This window comes from Homo sapiens, chromosome 3 (assembly GCF_000001405.40).
Source record: "Homo sapiens chromosome 3, GRCh38.p14 Primary Assembly".
Taxonomy (NCBI): Eukaryota; Metazoa; Chordata; class Mammalia; order Primates; family Hominidae; genus Homo; species Homo sapiens.
This window is the reverse complement of record NC_000003.12, coordinates 131,391,295-131,409,677: the sequence shown is the minus strand read 5'-3', so window position 1 is coordinate 131,409,677 and position 18,383 is coordinate 131,391,295. Positions and strand designations below refer to the sequence as shown.

The following is an 18,383-nucleotide window of genomic DNA, read 5'->3' as shown; positions in this document are numbered from 1 at the left end:
GATATGTGGCATTATTTCTGAGGGCTCTGTTCTGTTCCATTGATCTATATCTCTGTTTTGGTACCAGTACCATGCTGTTTTGGTTACTGTAGCCTTGTAGTATAGTTTGAAGTCAGGTAGTGTGATGCCTCCCGCTTTGTTCTTTTGGCTTAGGATTGACTTGGCGATGCGGGCTCTTTTTTGGTTCCATATGAACTTTAAAGTAGTTTTTTCCAATTCTGTGAAGAAAGTCATTGGTAGCTTGATGGGGATGGCATTGAATCTGTAAATTACCTTGGGCAGTATGGCCATTTTCACGATATTGATTCTTCCTACCCATGAGCATGGAATGTTCTTCCATTTGTTTGTGTCCTCTTTTATTTCCTTGAGCAGTGGTTTGTAGTTCTCCTTGAAGAGGTCCTTCACATCCCTTGTAAGTTGGATTCCTAGGTATTTTATTCTCTTTGAAGCAATTGTGAATGGGAGTTCACTCATGATTTGGCTCTCTGTTTGTCTGTTGTTGGTGTATAAGAATGCTTGTGATTTTTGTACATTGATTTTGTATCCTGAGACTTTGCTGAAGTTGCTTATCAGCTTAAGGAGATTTTGGGCTGAGACGATGGGGTTTTCTAGATAAACAATCATGTCGTCTGCAAACAGGGACAATTTGACTTCCTCTTTTCCTAATTGAATACCCTTTATTTCCTTCTCCTGCCTGATTGCCCTGGCCAGAACTTCCAACACTATGTTGAATAGGAGCGGTGAGAGAGGGCATCCCTGTCTTGTGCCAGTTTTCAAAGGGAATGCTTCCAGTTTTTGCCCATTCAGTATGATATTGGCTGTGGGTTTGTCATAGATAGCTCTTATTATTTTGAAATACGTCCCATCAATACCTAATTTATTGAGAGTTTTTAGCATGAAGGGTTGTTGAATTTTGTCAAAGGCTTTTTCTGCATCTATTGAGATAATCATGTGGTTTTTGTCTTTGGCTCTGTTTATATGCTGGATTACATTTATTGATTTGCGTATATTGAACCAGCCTTGCATCCCAGGGATGAAGCCCACTTGATCATGGTGGATAAGCTTTTTGATGTGCTGCTGGATTCGGTTTGCCAGTATTTTATTGAGGATTTTTGCATCAATGTTCATCAAGGATATTGGTCTAAAATTCTCTTTTTTGGTTGTGTCTCTGCCCGGCTTTGGTATCAGAATGATGCTGGCCTCATAAAATGAGTTAGGGAGGATTCCCTCTTTTTCTATTGATTGGAATAGTTTCAGAAGGAATGGTACCAGTTCCTCCTTGTACCTCTGGTAGAATTCGGCTGTGAATCCATCTGGTCCTGGACTCTTTTTGGTTGGTAAACTATTGATTATTGCCACAATTTCAGAGCCTGTTATTGGTCTATTCAGAGATTCAACTTCTTCCTCGTTTAGTCTTGGGAGAGTGTATGTGTCGAGGAATGTATCCATTTCTTCTAGATTTTCTAGTTTATTTGTGTAGAGGTGTTTGTAGTATTCTCTGATGGTAGTTTGTATTTCTGTGGGATCGGTGGTGATATCCCCTTTATCATTTTTTATTGTGTCTATTTGATTCTTCTCTCTTTTTTTCTTTAGTAGTCTTGCTAGTGGTCTATCAATTTTGTTGATCCTTTCAAAAAACCAGCTCCTGGATTCATTGATTTTTTGAAGGGTTTTTTGGGTGGTGCTTTCAAGAGTGCATCAGCTGCAGTAGGATAGGGAGGATACAAGCTTGTCCTTGGTCAGGTGGTGTGCTGGGCCACAGAGCTCCTAAGAGATTATGTCCTTTGTCCTTGGAGTTCCTCGGCTGTCCCATGGAGCCTGCAGTGGCAATCCACCTCCTTCAAAGGGTTTGCGGATTCTCTTCTCTTGGCTTTCCTGGTATATTCCTGTGGTGGTTCTTGGAGCAAAATTTCACGATGTGGGTCTCCACATGCTGGTCTGTCTATCCGAGTGAGAACTGCAAGCTAGTCCTGCATCCTATCTACCATTTTCCTCTGAAAACATTACATTTCTTGATTTTGAGCTTTAACTTCTGCAAATGTCAGTTATTTTGTCAACATTTGCATATTCATGTTAAAGAAATAGCCAGATTTCTCCACCTATCTTCACTCACAGTTCAGTAAAAACCCATTATTAATTTTAATTCTGAAAGTTTCTTTAACACAAAGCAACAGATAAATTTTAGAAAAGTCTTAAGCATAAAGATAAATTAGAGATTAATAAAAATCACATTTCACAATAAATTCCAGAAATTGTACCATTGTTCACATCTTTGTTTCTTCAGGATTGACCTCAGTGGATTTCAAATGTCTCTGCAGTTGAAACACTTCCACTAAAATATTTTTGCCAGAAAACTCATTGTAAGTTTCTATTACATTTTAGAAAATCTCTGAAGGTTCCTCTTCTACTAAAACTTAACAAATGATTGAATAGTGAACACTGACATGATTTGATCCTCTGCTGTAGAGTAAATGTCTAGTTCTTGGTGAAAATAATCAAGGTGTTTAAATATTGCCCTTGTGATTTCTTGGCACTGTAAGACCAGCACATTTTATCATTTTTCCTGGCACTCTTCTTCAACATTTGATTATGTTTTTCTATGGAATTATTTATTTCCTTATTTTTCATGGTTATTGCGTTGTTCGTGGGCTTCTCCACAATTTCTGTGCACCAAACTTCAAGGAACAATTTTAAAGCCTGGTGCTAATGTATCTTCAGAGTACATTATTCAAAACTGATTCTAACTGTTTGGAAATATTTTTGTGGTTTTTTTAATCTCAAAAAAGAAAAATTGCGTTCAGCTATCATGGTTTATTTTAAATCTCCTGTTTAAGCACAAAAATGTGTGGTACCACAATGGCTGCATACGTAAACCACACCTGAAATTAGGGAGAATTTTTGAGAACCTCATAAATTTACTCTTGAAACAAACATGTGTAGCTGAGTCCATGGATGTTTGAGGCCAAGTACATAACAGGGATTTGAAGCTTTACATATGTATTCTATCTATTCTTAAGACTCAACAGTAACCACAGAAATTGCCTAGAAGTTAGGCCAATGAAAGATTTTTGAGGGGAGGGATATGTTACCAATAACACTGTTTAGCATGGCCAATGTCTGGTGATAATAAAAAGCAAACCAACTTTTAGTCAGTTTTATTACTGTTTTTGTATCCTCTACATACAGTGTGACGTTTTATTGTTTATACCTTGGGCAGCTACTCCCACGGTTCCACCCTTGGTATGCTAATGTTCACAGATGTTACATTCATTAATAATTCTGAGAGTCATTAAAAGATGTGATAGCATGCAGTGCTGGCCAGGATGGGGGTGTCTGGAGTAGGGGGAGACAGAAGAGGAAAAGAGAGGGCAGATTACAGTAGACTCATGCATTGCTGGAGGACATGGAGATCATTCTAGCCCTTCGATAGAATTTGGCAATAGCTATTAAAATTAAATGTAAGCATTCCTTTTAATCCAACAATCCTACTCCTGGGAATCAATCCTGTAGAAATAGAAGTTTTAGTTTATAAGGATCTATGGCCAGTAATGTTTATTGGGCATTGCTTGTGATAGAAAAAATGAAAAGAAGCACATCAATAAGGGAAGATTGGAAATATTGTCATATGTCTGAACCGTGGAATTCCACACAGCCACTGATAATTAGATTTGTACCGACCAACTTAGAATGATTTTCATAATGTTTTATTAAGTGAAAAAAGAAGGTGGGCTAAAAGTGTTTATCAACAACAACAAGGCCTTATGCATGTGAATATGTGACTTTGTATGGTTGTAAGAGCCTAGAGAAAAACTTTTATGAATCGAAGGGGTCATGCACTCTTGGTTTATTAGAGAGAAGAGGGGGAAAGGCCAAAGGAAGAGAAAAAATATTTTAAAAGCTGTTTTTAATTGTGGGGCTCTTCTTTATTTTCTTTTATCTACAGCTTTTTACCATTTATGTAAAATTATGTGTGTGTCTGTACATAGCCACAGAGGGCTATGAAGAGAGAATGCCAGCAGGCTCTCCAGCATCATCCACTAACACTTTCTAAGATGACAGAAATGTGCTACATCTGCACTGTCCAAAACAGTAGCCGTGAGCCTCCTGAGCTGCTGAGCACTTGGAATATGGTTAGTGTGACCAAGAAAGTAAATTGTACTGTACTGGCTAAACTTAAATAGTTTAACTATTGTAGACAATAGTTTTCTATAAGCAATAGAGTGTGGTTTATTTGTATTTTCTTCCTTCTACTCTTCTATAGTGTTTAAATATTTCTATAGTTACTAATTATGTAATCAGAAAAAATTAGGGAGAAGTAGTATGTGTAGTGATTAAGAGCTCAGAGTTAGATCCAAACAGCCTGGTTCAAATCCTAGACCTCCTTCGTCATTGCTTAAAATTTTGAGAACATTTCTTAATCTGAAATTATTTCCCTCACTGTGCCTCAGTTTTCTCACCAGTAAAACGGACATAATCATGATACCTATGTCATGGAGTTATCATGAGGATTAAATGAATGTATACTTGTAAGTGCTTAGAACAATACCTAGCACATGGCAAGTGTTTGATAAGATTTACAAATAGAAATATTATTGGTTGTACTTGTCAAGGGTCTTAGTTGCAAGGAATAGAAGATTCTGGCTAAAGAATTTACTGAATAGATACTTGTGACTCACAAAAATGTTGATGTGTCTGGAGGATCAAGTTCAAGGCCAAAGGGCAGATCCCAAATGATATCTCATTACTGGTTCTGGTGAGGAAGCCGCTGTGCTAATGTTGTCTGAGAGTAATTGCTTCCCTTCTATTCCAGAGTAAAAGTCTTTGCTGGTGCATCAGATTGGCAGAGCATAGATCACATGTCTGTGCCCTAGCTGCAAGGGAGTCTAGGTAAGCAAGCCCTCTTCTAACACTTTCAGCTTCTGTTGGGAAGGTGACCAAAAGTTGGGAGCTCCCTGCAAATAAAAATGAACTTCATGTGCTGGGCAGCCAAAAACAAAAGATTTTTAAAATATACAATAAATGCCATTTAAACTAGGGAAAGGCTGGGGAGAAAGGGAAACTAATGTAAAATTTTTAAGTAGACCTGGATTCTGGACTCATTAAATACATTTTAGGGGTAACTAGCTCTCTGAAACCTTGTTTTTGTATCTGAAATCAAAGTGTTGAATCAGATGAACTCTCTGGATGTTGATGCTGTGAAATGTCACATTCTCAGATCATCTCTGTGGTTGGCATGACTTGAAACAAAGAAAAAGAAGATCCCATAATTACGCTGAAAAAATTATTATTTTTATCTTAAGTCACCCCAAAATTTGTATTTAGAAATGGACAAGGTAAACATTTTTATAGGAATTTTTATTTCTTCCTTTAAAGTAACTTGTCAGTATTATACTGTTGGTTATTGGATTTGAGAGAAGACCTTCTCTCTCCAGACCCAAAGCCAGTCATCTTGTGTGCTCTGAAATGGACCAGACTATTTTTAAAAGGGAGAGAAAGAGGTGCCATGAGGTGATAAAAGGGACAAAAAAAGGTAGACTTTGTTTCTATAAAAGTTTTTTGGAACATGATAGCTTTTTTCATGTCAGCCATACTCAGAGATAAGTGGGAAAAACTCCTGTCTAGTTCTCCCACATCTGCCATGAAAGTTACTAGGGTTCTTATAGGCTTTTCTTCTGAATTACTATAGCATATATTTAGGATTATCCCTATTTCATCTGAAAGTTTTTATTTAAATGTACTGCTTGTTTGCACATGTTTGTTTAAGTTTTGCTGAAATCTTAAGTATCATTCTGTGACTTCTTAATTTCTCTTCCTGTGGGGGGTGTTTCTCTTACTTCATAAACTGAAGACAGGGCTTTCCAAAAATGTTCACATCCAAGCACTCATAAAAATTGTATTTGTATCTGAGGTTACTTCAGATCCTGAGTTGTCCTGGGGACTCCAGCCTAACCACCCTGAAAACTGAGGGCACCAATGATGCTGCCATCTGTCACTTTCGTGGTTCACCAGTGTGTGAGGCACTCCTCAGAAAACTCTGGCCTAAGCCCATGGGAAAAATTAAGTTTGATATACCAAAGCAGTCTTTACATACAGTTTTCCAGGGATGGGTCTGCTAAAGCATGCAATATATCAGAAAGGATAGGTTTCATGACAGTGAAGAGAATGGCGGACTAGCCCAGAGGTCTGTTTCAGTGAACTGAAATGGATGAGGAAGCTGAGGCCCAGAGAGATAAGTGACTTGGCCTAGGTCACACAGCCACTTGGCAGCAGGCCAGGCCGAGATTGCCAGGTGAAGAACCCTCTATCATTTAGAAGAGGTTTGGCCTCAAACTTAAGCATTGATATCAAATGCATTTTAGAATCTTGGAGTTTTATTTTTATCTAATAATAGAATTCTGCAAATTATAATCTTGGGATTTACCCAAGCAATTAGTTCAATGATTCTTTTGTAAAGTTTGTAGACACTGGGGTTAAAAAGGAACGAAACAGTACTTTATTTTAAGCAGCTTAATTAATGTCTTTAGCTACTCCATCTATTTATCACTTTATTCTAGAGTGTTTTTGCAATGCCCAATTCTTTGGCAGTGCATAGAGAAACACAGTTATTAATTACTATTATCATAATCACTTCACAAAACAATAAGTACTCATACTTCCTAGGATTGAAAGTTTCACACCAACATTCCTCCAAGATAAGCATCTTTAGAGTAAAATATTCATATGAATCATCAAGAGCTATTATTAAACGCTTTTCAGAGTTTCTGAGTCATTACCTTAAAGATTTAACTTAGGTTTACTTTGAGAGGAAAATGGAAGGCTAGCATTTAATATCTTTTCTTCTCCTGTAAGAAGTGCTGGTTCTTGACTAGGCCTCCGTGGGCGGCCTTCCCTACCACTCTTATGGGGGAAGTAGACTCAGAGGTGCATTGTGTCTATAAGGAACATGTTCAGGCCTCTTCCTCTTTCTGTTAAGGTGGTATACGAGAATGGGCTGCTGGTTCCCTTCCCCTAAATTTACTGCAGATAGCTCCAGAAGCAGATGCAATCAAAGCTCTGAGGAAATTATCAGTGACACCCAAAAGGGTGAGAATGCCCTGGAGAGACAGAAGGCTGTCTAGCGTAGGAGTGTGAGGAATGAGCGGTGGCAGGCTGGGGCAGACAGCTGGGCATGTGCAGCAGGCAGAGGGGATAGTGGAGGAAAGCCTTTGGGTTCTGCCTTTTCCTCTTCACTGCCTGGCTTTAAATGAATCCTTGCTGGTCCCTTTGCAATTGAAACTGGCAGCATCAACGCAGGCTGCTAGTGTTGTCAGGGTGCATAAATGTACTGCAAAAACCCTGTTGGGATGAGGGTTGATGAAAACAGGACTGGCCAGCTGATATTTAACATCCACTCATCCACCTCTTCCACATCAAACTCCCTGGGATGGCAGATTTTAATCTAGGTGACTATTGCCCACAGGAGTTGCCCGGCAGAGTGGTACCAAAAATAGTAGCCTATCGAATTCTGTGGTATCTGGAGCATCCAGCTCTGGGGTTTATTCCTTCTCTGTTCTTAAACTCACATGGAGGGATTCAGCTCCTGCTTAAAACACATTACCAGGCAGGGTAGATTAAAACAGAAACATGATTTCCCAGGGTAATATAACTGTCTCCTAAAGACAACAAACGTTGACTGGAACTTATAGAGCAAGAGCTTAAATAAACAACAAATATAACTTAAAGTGAGAATGTATTAGCAATCTGAAGCAGGAAAAGAATGTTTCAGAGGTATATACATATGTGAACATTTATCAAATTGTACACTTTAAATATGTGCAGTTTATTTTATGCAAAGTATACCACAATGAAGCTGTTAAAAAGAAAACTAACCACTTACTCACAAAATAAAATGCAAATCTAACAATATCACCCTATTTAACACTCTTCAATGGTTTCCCAATTATCTTAGGATAAAATTCAGTCTTTAGAATGTGGCTTGGAAAGCTTGCATGATCTGGTCCCTACTCAATACATCCTTTCCATACCCAAACTCTCAAATAGGAGACCCAGACATCTCAATTTCTTTCGATTCTTGGGTCTGCCTCCAAGCATTTGCATTCTGTTGCTTGTTAGCATTTTTCCCATATTCCACCCCTACACATACATATACACATTTACCTGGATAATTGCTTTAGGATTCTGCTTAGATATCCTTTTCATGAAGCTCTCACTGACCATCTCTCCCACCCCCATGACTGAGTGGAATCCCTCCTATGCGCACCTACAGTACTCTGGGCTTCCCATATTGCTACAACGTGGGTGTAGTTTATTTGACCCCACAAGTCTCATGTTGAAATTTGATTCCCAGTGTTGGAGGTGGAGCCTGGTGGGAGGTGTTTGGGTCATGGGGATGGACCCCTTATGAATGGCTGTCTGATGCCATCCTCACTGGGAGTGAGTCCTTATTCTTTGTTCCAGTCAGAACTCATTGTTGAAAAGAGCCTAGCACCTCCCTCCCCTCTCTGTCGCTCCCTCTCTCACAATGTGACACACTGTCTCCTCTTTGCCTTCTGCCATGAGTGGAAGCAGCCTGAGGCTTCTGCCCACAGCAGATGCTGGCACCATGCTTCTTGTACAGCCTGTAGAACTGTGAGTCAAATAAACCTCTTTTCTTTATAAGTTACCCAGCCTCAAGTATTCCTTTATAGCAACAAAAATGGATTAAGACACATAGCTTATCATGTATCCCTCTGTCTTGTGAGTGCCTGTTTACTTCTCTGATGCCTCACACCATCCTGTGAGAATGTTTGAGAGCAATAAATGTCCCTGTCTTGTGTATCGCAGCTCCAGTGCCTTGGATACTATCTAGAATATGGTATATTTCTTTAATGATTCAATCAATAAGTCAGTGGAACATGGAGGATCCGAGAGTAAGTCTTAATACCAAATTTAAAGGAAACCGAGGACAACCCTGTGAAAGGGAGAGAAGCAGGGAAGTACAGGGGTAAGAGCTCAAGCAATGTCAGGTAGACTTGGGTTCTCATATCAGCTCTGTCACTTAGTAATGTGACCTTGTGGAAGCTCCCTAACCTCACTGTGCCTCACAATATCCTCATCTGTTAAGTGGAGATAATAGTGATACCTATTTCATTGGATTATTATGAGGATAAAATGAGATAATCTGTGTAACTTTAGGTTCAATGCCTAGTTTGGCCCAATAAGTGTTAATTATAACTAAACAAAACAATATCATAGTGCTTAAGAGCAAAAAGAACTAAATAATAACAAAATCCAGTCAAATAAATGTTTCTGGTGTTACCAAAATGGAAAAGCCAGTTATAGGTAAGTAGCAGATTTGATCAATGGTAGCTCAAACTTACAGCTTAGCCTTACAGGCTTTCTGTCCAATTTTCCTGTAGTGTTGGTGAGTCTAAGGGTACTGAAGTTTGTGTTTCATGTTTTTGGGATTTCTGATTTTCTTCAAAACCTTGCTGAAGTAATATCTAGAGCTGCGGAGCCCATAAGAAGGTTCCAGCTAGGGAAGGTAGGGAGGAGATGCCACTCTCTGCTTACACGTGAAGAAGCCCTTTGCAGTGGAGACTGTGGTGTGTTTCCTGGAACCTCCACTCTAGGACCGAAGCATTCATTCCTCCAGCTTCTAGGTGTGTTGAAGTCCAACACTCAGGTGAGACCCTATCTGGGAATTTGCCATGGCTAGAGAGAGCTGCCTCCCCCAAAGTCACTCTCTTCCCAGGGCGGCCTACATCTAACAGCTGATTGAAGTGGGAGTACAGAGGCATCAACCTCTCACACCAGTTGGGCACATCTCTGAAGGCCATTCTAGCCCCAGGCCTCCCTGTAGAATTGACCTCTGTGGTGGGTGCATAGCAGTTCAGCATTTCTCTCTGCCCAGTATGTGCCTGAGAGCACTTATCAACAAACTCCTTGCCTGCACATCTCAGGCTCAGAAGCTGCTCTCCTGGAAACTGGACCTGCGACTACCATCTCTTGACCCACTGGATGCCTTAATGCCCATATATCCAGGTGTCACTGGGCAAGCAGTCAATGCAGAGATTGGCCACCTTCTCTGAAGCTGAAGCAATGGGGCAGCAAAGAGTGTCTGCGATCAGAAGAAGAAAGGAAAATTGCCACCATCCTTAGGAATTTGACATATGGAGTTATATTTCAGACAACATTTTGGGGAGAGGCCTTGAGTTTATTGAATGATCAGAAGAAAAAGGTATTTAGGATGGAAATCTGGGAGATCAAGGCACAGTTGACTGAACCATTCCAATTCCAAATTGTAAGCTCCATGAGGGTAGGGATTTTTGTCTAGTTTGTTCATTGCTGCATCTCTAGCCAGACCTAAAACAGCATCTGGCATATAAGAGGTACTCAATCAATATTTAGTGAGTCAGTGACTATGGAATTCAGCAGAGGAGAGGTGGTCAGGGAAGGAGGCAAACCTAAAAAGCAAAATGAGAAATGTGACTTAATTCAAGTCCTAGAGAGGGAATGAGGCAGTGAAATTTGGCGAATCAGATCATGAGCTGTGACCACAGGCAGATTTGAGTTCAACTCAGGCTTTGCTACTTAGTAGCTCTGTGACTACTGGAAAAATCATTTAGCCTCTCCAAGACTCAGTTTTATCATCTGTACAATGGGACTTATATTAAATATGGTGATTCTGCAAATTAAATAAGGTGATTTGCATGACATATCTTGTACATAGTAGACACTCAATTATCTGTTCATAAGGAGGCACATATGGTACATACATATGCATACACACACACACATGCACACACACGCACAATCTCAAGGGATTCTAGGGTAATAGTGTTTATAACATGCTTTCATATCCCCAAGAGGAAGAAGTATGCTACTTCGTCAGTTGTAAAAGGCTTGATAATATATTGGCTTTAAGGATGACACAAATTAATGCAAAAAACATGTGAACAAGTGGAGCTTATAAACTTACGCGGCTGCACCAGCCCATTACTTTGAGTCCTAACCATATGACTAAGTTTTTAGTTGCTTAAGCAAATAAATGTTATCAAACACCCTTTGAAGAACAAGTTAATTTGAAATTGAAGTTTTTTCTTAAATTGACCATTTGAGATATGGCTGCTGAGGTTTAAATATTCAGCTTTGACTTAAAGTAGAACAGTTATGCCAGATAGATGAGAGGCCATTTGACCCTTTTATCTCTGCCCAAGTATTCTAAACAACACAAGCTATGGACACAGATTGGATATGTTTTTAGTTACCACAGTATATAAGCTGCACAATCCATTTCTGACTTTGGTCTCTTATTAAATATGGGGTGGAAGTGGGTAGGCTGTCAAGAAGAACCAACAATTTCATATAAATCCTTCAATTCCAGGGAATTGTTTGAAATCAGGCAGAAAATACAAGTGTCATTTGTGAACCTTTTATACTTCAATTGACAAAAATAATCGTATACTTAATTTGGAGACAGAGTTCTGCCTTCCATGACACCCTTATTGTGGTTCTCTTCCTCTCCTCATTGAATGGTAGCCATGAAATTTGATCCTATCCCTCTTGACACAGTGACGGCTTTAGGTCGCCCAGGTCTCAGTCAATCAGCTCAATCCCTTCCTCTGACCACAGGGATTGGTTCAGGGTGGACCAATCATTGCAAACGTAAGGACTGTCTCTTAGATTCAAATAAGGGGAACCAGCCTTGAGATGGAGCCTTCACTATACATATTAGAGTCTAGTGAGACAGAAAAACTGAATTATCAAGCCCCTGGATCAAATTCCCCTGAAACTCATATACCCTGAGATTTTCCAGTATACGAACCAAAAAGGTTTAAATTGGATTTTCTATTACTTACAACCAATGACTTCATAAATAATACATGTCCATCAGCAAATAAAAATGTATTTGCATTTCCAAAACTATATTTGACTTCCTACATTCCATGACAGGGGGCTCAGCACACAACTCCCTGTATTGGCACGTATAATAAAGGGAGATAGGCTTACTTAAGCAAAATGATTTTTATTCACATCGGAAGTGGAGTTTGAGTCCTGAATTTGCACTTTGTTTGTATGTGAGCACTGAATTTGAGCTATAGAGTTCCAGTCATTATGGCTGCCTCCATGAGTAGTAATTAAGCAGTTACTGCTCAGAAAGTCATGCAGAATCAGAATTAGATCTGGCACCCACCTGACAGGTCCAACATCAATGAGGCAACCAGACAGGCAAAACACCTTAATATCCATTAGCCAATGAATAGGTCAGTAGAAATTAAGGGTGAGTGCCCATACTTCTACAGGGTTAACTTCAAAAGGTCAGTTTTCTAGCTTGCTTTGTCAACAAGAAAGGGAAGATGGGTTTGCTTAAGGAAGTTCGGAATGAAGTTTATTAGTGAACTTACCCACCCTTTTCTTCCTGTCCATTTTGTTTGGTCTTCCATAATTGGCAAGCAGCATTTATTAATACATGTTCCTGACATAAAGCTATGAAGTAGGTTTTCCTCTTCTAGTAAGAAATTCGGTCAAAACCACCCAGGTGCCCACATCTCAATTAAAAACAAAAAGACAGGAAACAATTGGGTAGTTCTACTAGTTTTTAATATTCTGTTTTTTCACAGCCCAGAATGTTCTAATTGGGAATGACAAGATTGCAGATCACAGGCAGAGCTGGGAGGTTTTCAGCCAAATTTAATGATACCTGAAAAATCCACCATTCTTCCAATGGGCTTGGTTTACTGGAAATAACACCTGCTGTAAATAACTTACATCTTAGTATATGGGATAAATTGCATGAATAGTTTTTTGTTGGTTTGTTTGTTTTTTGAGATGGAGTGTCACTCTTATTGACCAGGCTGGAGTGCAACGGCATGATCTCAGCTCACTGCAAACTCTGCCTCCTGGGTTCAAGTGATTCTCTGGCCTTAGCCTCCCAAGTAGCTGGGATTACAGGAGTATGCCACCATGCCTGGGTAATTTTATATTTTTAGTAGAGTTGGGGTTTCACCATGTTGGTCAGGCTAGTTTCGAACTCCTGACCTCAAGTGATCCACCCACCTTGGCCTCCCAAAGTGCTGGGATTATACGCGTGAGCCACCAGGCCCGGCTGCATGAATAGTTTTAATTCTCCACCTCTCCTTGTATCTATTCCCACCTGTTAGCATTTGACTTTGAAGTTCCTCTTACCAAAAGGCAGAATATATTTCCCTGCCTCTTAACTTTGGGTTCAGCCATGTGACTTGCTTTCACCAATGGAATGTTAGTGGGTGTGGTATCACTAATGGCTGGAAAAGCACTTGTGTAATTGTTCCTTGCTTCACTGCTGTAACCAAGAGATGAACATCTTGATCTAGCCCACTGGTCCCAGGAGAAGGATGAGAAACACATGCAGCAGAATCAGTCCCAGCCAAGCCCAACCCAGAATAGCTAACTCCAGGCCAGCTGGAGGGCTGCAGACACACAAGCTAAATAGATGATTATGTTGCTCACTGCTGACATTGTGTGTTGTTATAGAGCATGATTGTGGTAATTGTTAATTAATGGAATGTCAATTAATTGTTATTTAATAAAATCCAGGGTGCCCCATGCCTCCTTCTGAACATAATTTTGTTTCCATTTTAGTAATGCCTCTGTCGCTCCATTTTTTATCCTTGAAACTTTGTGGTTTTTCCCCGATACTAACTTAATACCTTGACATCCAATACAGAGCTCCAAGGGAAATGTGGCTTGCCTAAGATTTTTAGCAAAGACTTTTGTTATACCATTGGCTATAACATATGAACTTGCAGGCTTAACCTGCCCACTACAACAAACATATGACAAATTGCCACCAGCTGTCATACTAGCAGATCTGCAGTGACGATTTACTAATTTAATTCCCTTAAAATGTTATAATGGGCCAAGTGTGGTGGCTCATGCCTGTAATCTAAACACTTTGGGAGGCTGAGGCAGGTGAATGACTTGAGCCCAGGAATTCAAGACCAGCCTGGGCAACGTGGCAAAACCCTGTCTCTACCAAAAAATATATGTGTGTGTATATATATATATATATATATATATGTATATACATATATATATATATATGTATATATATATACATGTATATACATATATATATATGTATATATATATATATATGTATATACATATATATATATATATATGTATATATATATATATGTATATATATATATATGTATGTGTATATATATATATATATATATATATATAAAATTAGCCAGGTGTGGTGGCACACACCTGTAGCTATTTGTGGGGGCTGAGGTGGAAGGGTCACCTGAACCCAGGGAGGTCAAGGCTGCAGTCAGCTGTGATCGCACCACTGCACTCCAGCCTGGGTGACAGAGTGAGACCCTTTTCTCTCTCTCTCTCTCTCTCTCTCTCTCTCTCTCTCTCTATATATATATATATATATATATATATATATACACATATATATAAATATATATATGTATATATATATTTATATATATATACACACACACAGATATACATTCATATAGATAGAGATATATATACTACTATATATATGATATATATATATGATAGCATGAAACAGGAACAATATTCTCAACTCACCAGTGTTATCTTTAAAAGCTCCATGTAGCTAATACATAAAGATATTTATTCTAGTATTGAGCACTATTGAAAAAAATATGAATATTCTACAGTTTTTTTAAAGATAGACCTTCACACTAAGAAGATGAATGATAAAATTTCAGGTATCAGCCAATAGGTGGGAGAGGGTCTGAGGAGTGTCTCTAGGAACCAATAAAACCTTATTACTTGGTAATCGATAAGAATTAAGTTCCAAACTTCAACATGTACCTTAGGTAAATTTATCTGTTCTGTACCCATCATTTGAATGTAATGGTAGTAAGTTGCTAGGATGGTAATAAGTTGCTGAGATACCTCCAAGCAGCTTTACAAGTTTACTTTGTTAAACTATGTCCTATGAATTAAGAATTATTAAGTGTTTTGATTGGATGAGGTGAGAAGTGTTTATCTGCATTATGAGGAAACCAAAGAGTGCCCTTTGAGATTTGTCCAATCCCTTCATTTGTTTTACAGATTACATTGTTAAAATAAATATTTACTGAGCACATTCTGTGTGTCAGGCACTGTGCTAAATAATGGGAAATACAGGATACCCTTGAGAGGTTCACAGAAGACAGGGAGACCAAGAACCAGTAAGGTTAGGGAAGTTGCCCAAGGTCATAGGACCTTGTAAAAGAGACTTGAATCTTAGTCCAGTGCTGTTTGCCACAGTGTGAGAAAACTCTTTGACAAAAGTTAATATAAATTAATATTTAAAATGAACTTCTATGTGGAGGCTTCTTTAGCTTCCATAAGAGCCAAGACTTCTCATGAAGCATGTGTTCAATAAGCATTTTACTGAGTGCTTATTGAGTTTACTTCATAAGAAACATACCATATGCTGGGGAAATAAAGTCGTGTTCTAGTAGGGCCAAAAGCAATTTAAACACAGAATCCTGGGCAATGACATATGTACTATTGTAGAGTCATACTCTGGTTGCCACGGTAGCCCAGAAGAGAGGGGGCGAAAGCTGCCCTAAAGGGATTATGAGTTTTGAAGGACAAGTCAGACATTACATGGGCTCTTGACAAGTGGGACATTCCAGGAATGAACAGCATGTGAGTTGCACTTAATGTGATTAATGTTACTAAAAAGAGGATTGACATTTTCTCAGTAGTGTCTGAGAGCAAGATGCCTGATACCTATGGAGACCATGTGTCCAGTTTCAAACATTCAGCTTCTTTGTCCTAAAAATTGGAAGTACCGTGGCAGACCACAGATCTGAGTTTGGGAAATGAGGTATTAAAGCCAATATTTGAGGCAGATCTTTAGGTAGAAAGTGTTGGATTCTCAGATAGGGGATGGGCCTACACATCATTGACATTTCTGACTTCTCACCTCTCAGACATCACTGCATTCCATGGGCTCTTTCTTAGAAGTCACTTAAGACTTCACCTGCCTCCGAGGTGAAAATGAGGCTCATCTCCTGTGTTTCACCCACTCTGAGACATCATTGATTGCAACGTGCATTAATATTTTAGGTACCATTAAGAAAGAAAAATACTGCCATGGAGCCATAACATGATGTTTTCTTGCCTATTAAAAGGTATTTTTAAAATTTTCTGCACATTAAGAAAGATCTTTCAGAGTAATTTAGACATGAGCCTTTATTATAGATCACTTTTGTACATACACAGAAAGGAAATATAAGCAAAATAAAATGATTTAGATATCTCTAAAACTTCTACACAGCATCCTTCTCTTTGAACCACTTCAAATTGGGATCATAGATGTCCGTATCTTTCTATAAAACATCATCCTCTGTGCCATTAAGAGCCATGATTTGCAACGTTTCTTAAGAGTTCCCCACATTCGTCTCTTGGATTTCTTCCCAAGCTGCTGACATTCCTTCTAAAACTTTTAAAGCCGTATGCAGCAAATATCAACTATGTCAAGAACAAAACCTGGCATCAATTGTAAGACTCATTCCTATTTCAGAGATTTTAAAGATGTGTGTCTTAGAATACCTGAAACAACGGTAAGCCAGACCTGAGGTTTCTTAGAACATTATTACGGCTTTAAAACTTAGAAGAAAAAAAGTCCAGAATCCAGAACTTTCCCTCTGACTTTTTACATGGCACCAACCTGTGTCCATCTGCAGAGGTTTCTAACGTGATTTGGCAGCCTCACATCTGTCAGGCCCATGTGAGGTGGGAGCAGGATGACAGCTGCAAGTCAAGCACCGGAGCAAGACCTGCTGCCAAGCACTCTGATTTTAATCCTGTCAGTTAGTGCTTGGCTCCATCCGAAATGTATTCAGGGCTGTGACAGGGTTCTCAGACCCAGTGCCTCCTTTTTACAACAAGGATTTCGGCCTGACAGGGTGGCTCACGCCTGTAATCCCAGCACTTTGGGAGGCCGAGGTGGGTGGGTCACATGGTGGAGAGATTGAGACCATCCTGGCCAACATGGTGAGACCCGTCTCTACTAAAAATACAAAAATTAGCCGGGCGTGGTTGTGGGTGCCTGTAATACCAGCTACTTGGGAGGCTGAGGCAGGAGAATCGCTTGAACCCAGGAGGCGGAGGTTGCAGTGAGCTGAGATTGCACCACTGCACTCCAGCCTGGTGACAAAGTGAGACTCTGTCTCAAAATAAATAAATAATAAAAAATACAATAAGGATTTGGGGACACTGTAGCAGATTGTATCTTCCAAAGATTGCCATAGAATATCTCCTGTCCCACACCATCTTCCAGAACTGTGCTGCTCCTTTATCAAGATTTGGAGCCCAGTCCTCCCACTTCTTGAATTTGTGAGTTTGTGTCTAGTTTGTTACCAATGGAATGTGGGAAAAGTAAAGTTGTGTGACTTATAAGGCTGAGTCAGAAAAGGCCATGCGACTTCCACCTTGCTTGATGGAACATTCATGCTGGAGCCCAGACCTACCATGTAAGCAGTCTCACTGCCATAAGGTGGCCATGCTGTGAGGAAGCCCAAACAGACAACATGGAGAGGCCCTGAGATGATCTGAAGAGAGAGAGACTACTGCTCTCAGTTGAGAGACTACTCAAGCTCCCAGCTACTCGAGCTGTCACCTCCATCTGACTGCAACCATGAATTGCTGTTATTCTAACCCACTAAATTTGGGGATGGTTTGTTATATGACATTGGTAACAGGAAGACTCCCTTTAAGGAGGGGTGTCACTCCCGTGGAAGACAACTGCCTTAGGGACATTAAATCCTCCATGTGACCACCAAGTACACCAACACCAAGGAAAGGCTTCAGGTTCAGAGGCCAGCATTTCTCAGCCACTTACACTCACTGGGGTTCGATTACTCTCTCTCCCTCACCTCTTATCCTCTTCATCACCTCTAAGTCCTGGTATAGAACATTTACATAACTTACCGTCTCTTGGATAAATAAGGAATAACTTCAGTTAGTTCTACAAACTGAAAAAAACTCAAACAGATGATAGTTATTTCCCTATTCGTTATACCCCAGCTTTCTCGTTTGGGTCTCAGCCCCAGCATCAGGGTCTTCAGGGAAGGTAAAATAGTGAAAAGCTACTTCCGGCCCCACTTCACTCCATCCAAGTGTCCAGGGCTGCCAGGCCTCAATGCATAGGCAGAGCTACGTGTTGTGTGGGGCTTGAATCTTTTACAACTCTGGGAACACTTTTTAAGAAAAAGGAAATCAAAATTAGATATGAAAGGAAAGTGATTTAGAATATAAATTCACAACAAATTACAACTTGAAAAAACTAAAAAATCCTACAATCATGAAAAAATCCAGAAAAATAACATAATTAATTACCTAATATGCTCTTATAATATTTTTCTACCTTT

At 39.5% G+C, this 18,383-nt stretch overlaps 1 long non-coding RNA gene across 1 annotated transcript; it reads left to right on the top strand.

Annotated features, from left to right (window-relative positions):
- Window positions 1–2,281: 2,281 nt before the first annotated feature.
- Window positions 2,282–7,905, top strand: LOC107986025 (uncharacterized). Its single transcript, XR_001740496.3, has 3 exons — window positions 2,282–2,360; window positions 3,944–4,130; window positions 4,811–7,905. It is a non-coding gene; the product is annotated as an uncharacterized LOC107986025 (long non-coding RNA).
- Window positions 7,906–18,383: the final 10,478 nt, after the last annotated feature.